Source organism: Homo sapiens, chromosome 17, assembly GCF_000001405.40.
Source record: "Homo sapiens chromosome 17, GRCh38.p14 Primary Assembly".
Lineage (NCBI taxonomy): Eukaryota > Metazoa > Chordata > Mammalia > Primates > Hominidae > Homo > Homo sapiens.
In genome coordinates, this window is record NC_000017.11 from 76610885 (window position 1) to 76617236 (window position 6352).

Here is a 6352-nt window from a genome sequence, read left to right on the forward strand (position 1 = left end):
GTTGAGAGATAGTGAGGGAAGTTGGAGAAGAGAGTAAAAAGAGGCCGCTTACCGGATTTGAAATTGGTGAGATGTTTCTTGGGCTGGTCGGTCTGAGGACCTGAGGTCATAGGTGGATCTTTCTCACACAGCAAAGAGCAGGAGGATGGGGGATTGATCTCCCAAGGGAGGTCCCCCGATCCGAGTCACGGCACCAAATTTCATGCGCGGCCGTGTGAAGAAACCACCAAACAGGCTGTGTGTGAGCAACATGGCTGTTTATTTCACCTGGGTGCAGGCGGGCTGAGTCCGAAAAGAGAGTCAGCAAAGGGAGATAAGGGTGGGGCCGTTTTATAGGATTTGGGTGGATAAAGGAAAATTACAGTCAAAGGGGTTTGTTCTCTGGCGGGCAGAGCGGGGTGGGGGGAGGCGGGAAGGTCACAAGGTGCTCAGCAGGGGAGCTTTTGAGCCAGGATGAGCCAGGAGAAGGAATTTCACAAGACAATGTCATCAGTTAAGGCGGGAACAGGCCATTTTCACTTCTTTTGTGGTGGAACGTCATCAGTTAAGGCAGGAACCGGCCATCTGGATGTGTACGTGCAGGTCACAGGGGATATGATGGCTTAGCTTCAGCTCAGAGGCCTGACAATAACCACTATCTTCTTGCTGTTTATTCTCACAGCTCCCTGCCCCTCCCTAATTGCATCACACTGCATGCTTAGCTTAATTGTCTGTCTTCCCTTAGACTGTGAGTGAGTCTATGAGGACAGGAACTGTCTGCCTTCCTAATCAATTTTCAGCACCTTGCCCAGCCTGGCACATGACAGGCACTGAACAGAAATTTGTTGAATAAAGGCCCTGAGCAGTGGCTCATGCCAGTAATCCCAGAACTTTGGGAGGCTGTGGAAGGAGGATTGCTTGAGCCAGGAGTTTGAGACCAGCCTGGCAAACATACTGACAGCCTCCTTATGCTTTATTTTAAAACATTATCCAGGCATGGTGGCGTGCACCTGTGATCCCAGCTACTCAGGAGGCTGAGGTGGGAGGGTGGCTCGAGCCCAGGAGATTGAGGCTGCAGTGAGCTGTGATCACACCACTTCACTCTGTTATGGGCGGGTCTTTGTTCTTAGAGCTCCCAAGATGGGGTGGGGCTGCTCCCAAGATGGCAGCAAGCCTTTTGTTCTCTGACCTGGGGTCCTTGGCCTCACAGATTCCAAGGACTTGGGCCATACAGTGAGTGTTGTAGCTCTATTAGAAGCCGTGGGTCATGGAAGAGAACTGTGGCACCCAGTGACTAGTGTTCAGCTCAATTAGGACGAACCCGGGACTTAGCCATGCAGGAACAATGGCGAGCCTTTAGCCCGATTGGGAGCAGCAACGGGCACCTCACTTGATCAGAAACACAGCGGACACCCTGCCAGAAGTCAATGGTGGGTCTGGGATGGTGGCGAACAGCAGTGGTGGTGAACAGCAGTTGTGGACTGTGAGCAAAAGCTCAGCTTGAGCAGTAACAAACATGGGCCAGGAGAGTGTGCAGTTGCAAGATTTAACAGTGAAAACAGAGCTCCCATACAATGTGAGGGGTCCCAAAGGGGGTTGCCACTCCCTGCTCGAATGCCTGGATTTATATCCTGATCATTGTCCCTCCCCCTGTGCTCTCAGGTGATATATGATTTAACTATTTCTTTACCTCCTGCTTTGGCCTAATTTGTATTTTAGTGAGGCCTCTTTACTACCTGATTGGTTGGGAGTGACCTCAGTTACAAGCCGCATGTTTAAAGGTAGGTACAGTCACCTTTCCCAGCTAGGCTTAGGAATTCTTAGTCGGCCTAGGAAATCCAGCTAGTCCTGTCTCTCAACTCCAGCCTGGGCAACAGAGCAAGACCCTGTTTCAAAACAAAACAAAAAAGAAAAAAATTTGCTGGGTGAATAAGTAACTGAAAAGAATGGAAAGCAGATCTTCCAGGCTGTGCTGGGTTGAATAGCGTCCCCACAAATTCACGTCTGCTCAGAAGCTGTGAATATGACCTTACAGGGTCTTTGCAGAGGTAATCAAGCTGAAATGAGGGCACAGTGGATTCGTTTGGGCCCTAATCCAATGACTGGAGGCCTTACAGAAAGAGGGAAATTGGGGCAGGAACATACACCTGGGAGCAGGGGGAGGCAGAGGTTGGAGTGACAACCTGGGCACCAGGAGCTAGGAGAGAGGCATGGCCCTGAGTCTCCAGAAGGGCCTCCGAGGGCCAGGGGCTGAGGAAAGGCAGGTGCACTGAACAACTCAACAACCCTGCCGCTTACAAGTCAGTCCCTTTGCGGGGCCTTGCAGACCCGGGGAGGGAACAGCCGTGCTGGCTGCACTCGCCAGGGATAACTATGGCTTGCTTCTCATTGGACGAAGTGCCCGTCAATCACACAAAGGCTCAGGATGGGCCTCACTGTGACTTCTGGGCCTTTTTTCTTTGGTCAAGTAAAGGGGCGGGACCTGATTGGCTACAGGTTTGAGGACAGTTGTCTCCCTCTCTAGACTGGAAGGAGACTGGCAGTGGCTAAAGCGCCTGAGCTGATGACTTCTGACGCCCCAGAGTGGCGCTGAGGAGCATTTGCAGGTTTTTGGAATTTCCGATCAAAGGTGGAGGCAGGGTTTACACCCAAACCTAGAACAAATCACCCGTTCTCTTTCCTGATTTCCCTTTCTGAGTAACTGAGATTATAACCTCCAGGGCGGCTTTCCTAAGACTTCTGGACCTGACAAGATTCTTCTAGAATTCCTCAGCTGCCAGGTGCTCTCACCTTCCCTCAATCTCAATGAGAAGCAGAATAACCAGATGTACAAAGAATTTGAATTCCAGTTGTACAAGTATAGAGAGACAGCTGCCAAAGAGCTGTGTAGGAACATGGACTTTGAGCATCTCAGAGAGCGGCCCTCTGGCATGTGGCTTTCCTGCCGGGGAGGCTGGTGGCAGCTGCCACATCAGGTCTCAGTGGGCAGAGATGAAGTCTTTGCAAACATAAAAAAATAAAATAAAACTGTCTCTTTTGTATTTCCCCACCCAGAAAAACAGCCTTGACATATGCTGTTGTGTCCAAAATTGGTGGATTCCTGACTTCACTGACCTCAAGAAGGAAGCCACAGACCCTCACGGTGAGTGTTACAGTTCTTAAAGACGGTGTGTCCGGGGTTTGTGCCTTCTGATAGGCAGTGAGTGTTACAATTCTTAAAGATGGTGTGTCCAGCGTTTGTGCCTTCTGATATTCAGACGTGTTCAAAGTTTATCCTTTCTGGTGGGTTTGTGGTTTTGGTGGCTTCAGGAATGAAGCTGCAGACCTTCCAACTGAGTATTAACAGCTCTTAAGGTGGCGTGTCTGGAGTTGTTCATTCCTCCCAGTGGGTTTATGGTCTCGCTGGCTTCAGGAGTAAAGCTGTAGACTTTCGTGGTGAGTGTTACAGCTCATTAAGGCGGTGCAGACTGAAAGACTCAGCAGCAGCAAGATTTATTGCAAAGAGCAAAACAAACAAAGCACCCACAATTCACAAGGGAACCCCAGTAGGTTGCCACTGCTGACTCGGGCAGCCTGCTTTTATTCCCTTATCTGACCCCACCCACATCCTGCTGATTGGCCCATTTTACAGAGAGCTGATTGGTCCACTTTACAGAGCGCTGATTGGTCCGTTTTACAGAGAGCTGATTGGTCCGTTTTGACAGGGTGCTGATTGGTACGTTTACAATCCCTGAGCTAGACACAGAGTGCTGATTGGTGTATTTACAATCCTCTAGCTAGATGTAAAAGTTCTCCAAGTGCCCACTAGATTAGCTAGACACGGAGCACTGGTTAGTGCGTTTGCAAACCTTGAGCTAGACACAGAGTGTTGATTGGTGCATTTACAAACCCTGAGCTAGACACAGAGTGCTGATTGGTGCATATAGAATCCTCTGGCTAAACATAAAAGTTCTCCAGGTCTCCACCTGACTCCAGAGCCCATCTGGCTTCCCCTAGTGGATCCTGCACCAGAACTGCAGGCGGAGCTGCCCGCCAGTCCCACGCTGCGTGCCTGCACTCCTCAGCCCTTGGGCGGTCGATTGGACCGGGCACCACAGAGCATGGGGTGACGCCTGTTGGGGAGGCTCGGGCCCTGTGGGAGCCCACCGTGGGGGGGCTTGGGCATGGTGGGCTGCAGGTCCTGAGCCCTGCCCCATGGGGAGGTGGCTGAGGCCTGGCAAGAATTCAAGCGTGGTGCGGGCAGGCCGGCAGTGCTGGGGGACCTGGTGCTGCCTCCTCCCCTGCTGGCCTGGGTGCTAAGATGCTCACTCCCTGGGGCCAGCGCCGGCCAGCCGCTCTGAGTGTGGGGCCTGCTGAGCCGGCGCCCATCCAGCACTCCCGCTGGCCCACGAGGGCCATGCGCGGCCCTGGTTCCTGCCCGTGCCTCTCCCTCCACACCTCCCTGCAAGCAGAGGGAGCCGGCTCCGGCCTCGGCCAGCCCAGAGAGGGGCTCCCACAGTGCAGTGGCGGGCTGAAGGGCTTCTCAAGTGTGGCCAGAGTGGGCACTGAGGCCAAGGAGGCACTGAGAGCAAGTGAGGGCTGCCAGCACGCTGTCACCTCTCACTGTGGAGACAAGATCGGTGAACAGGTGGTAACGGAATATGAATGGAAAACCCTGGAGGCGTTTGGGCTTCAGCTCTAGGGCCAGGAGCTGCCTGGCTGTGGTTTTAATACCTGACTTCCAAATGTGACGTTTTCCTGGAGGAACACAGCTCTGTTTACTATGATGGAATTCAGCATAGCTGTTGTAGGGGAAGAAAAAGCATTTTTTTTCTTCACCTCTCATAAGTTGTTAGCTGATCTGGCCTCCTGGAATAAAAAGACAGATTAACAAGAGAAAGACAAGGCCTGGCGTGGTGGCTCACACCTGTAATTCCAGCATTTTGGGAGGCCAAGGCGGGCGGATCACTTGAGGTCAGGAGTTCGAGACTGGCCTGGCCAACATGGTGAAACCCCATCTCTACTAAAAATACAAAAATTAGCCAGATGTGGTGGCACGCGCCTGTAATTCCAGCTACACGGGAGGCTGAGGCAGGTGGATCGCTTGAACCCAGGAGGTGGAGGTTGCAGTGAGCCAAGATTATACCATTGCACTCCAGCCTGGGCAACAGAGCAAGACTCTGTCTCAAAAGACAAAATTAGCTATATGAAAAAAAAAGACTCTGTCTCAAAAAAAACACAAACGAAAAAAACAAGAGAAAGAGCGAGACCCTGTCTCAAACAGCAATGACAACAACATCCCAAAAAATAAGAGAGAGGTTTGTCAACATGCACATTTCCTGTGCACGTGGGAGACGCCCAGGGAGTGCCTGGTTCTCGAAGTGGCTTTGAATCGCAGCTCGTGTTGCATCTTCCACAGAGAACAGTACCTCTTTTTTTTTTTTTTTTTTTTTTTGAGACCGAGTCTCTCTCTGTTGGCCAGGCTGGAGTGCAATGGCACGATCTCGGCTCACTGCAACCTCCACCTCCCTGGTTCACGCGATTCTCCTGCCTCAGCCTCCTGAGTAGCTGGGATTACAAGCGCCCACCACAATGCCCGGCTAATTTTTGTGCTTTTAGTAGAGATGGGGTTTCGCCATGTTGGTCAGGCTGCTCTCGAACTCCTGACCTCGTGATCTGCCCGCCTCAGCCTCCCAAAGTGCTGGGATTACAGGTGTGAGCCACTGCGCCCGGCTAGAGAACAGTACATCTTTAGAGAAGTCACCAGGGGAGAGGACTTTGGGTGTTGAGGGGCAGTCCCTTGGGGAAGGCACGGAGCTGGCAGGTGCAGGCTGGTTGGGGAAGCCTGTTCCTGTGGGTGCCTCTGGAGCCGGCTCCAGGCCCACAAGGGCGCAAAGATGTCTTCAGTGGTTCAGCTTTGCTCTCTGTGGTAGAAAGGGGAGTAGGATGGCTTCTGTCTCTGTAAATTGATGTCCTGCTTTTATTATTATTATTATTGAGACAGAGTCTTGCTTTGTCACCCAGGCTGGAGTGCAGTGGCACGATCTCGGCTCACTGCAACCTCTGCCCCCCGGGTTCAAGCAATTCTGCTTCAGCCTCCTGAATAGCTGGGATTACAGGCAACCACCACCACGCCCGGCTAATTTTTGTATTTTTAGTAGAGATGGGGTTTCACCATGTTGGCCAGGCTGGTCTCGGACTCCTGACCTCGGGTGATCTGCCCACCTCGGCCTCCCTAAGTGCTGGGATTACAGGTGTGAGCCACCACGCTGGGCCTTGTCTTGCTTTTAGGCAAACAGGGTGGGCAGAGCTTTCTGGACCTGCCGCTTCAGAACTGCCCTGAGCTCAACAAGCCTGTGTATTTTGGAGTGGCATCCTCTGGCCTCCCACACTG

General features: G+C 52.3%; 2 annotated features.

Moving 5' to 3' along the window:
• Positions 215–721: an enhancer, noted in NCBI's record as "OCT4-NANOG-H3K27ac hESC enhancer chr17:74607181-74607687 (GRCh37/hg19 assembly coordinates)". NCBI's record gives its function as "activates a minimal SCP1, AML or CMV promoter by ChIP-STARR-seq in primed H9 embryonic stem cells {active_cell/tissue: H9 hESC(primed)}" and the evidence as "EXISTENCE:reporter gene assay evidence [ECO:0000049][PMID:30033119]".
• Positions 1230–1736: an enhancer, noted in NCBI's record as "H3K27ac-H3K4me1 hESC enhancer chr17:74608196-74608702 (GRCh37/hg19 assembly coordinates)". NCBI's record gives its function as "activates a minimal SCP1, AML or CMV promoter by ChIP-STARR-seq in naive H9 embryonic stem cells {active_cell/tissue: H9 hESC(naive)}" and the evidence as "EXISTENCE:reporter gene assay evidence [ECO:0000049][PMID:30033119]".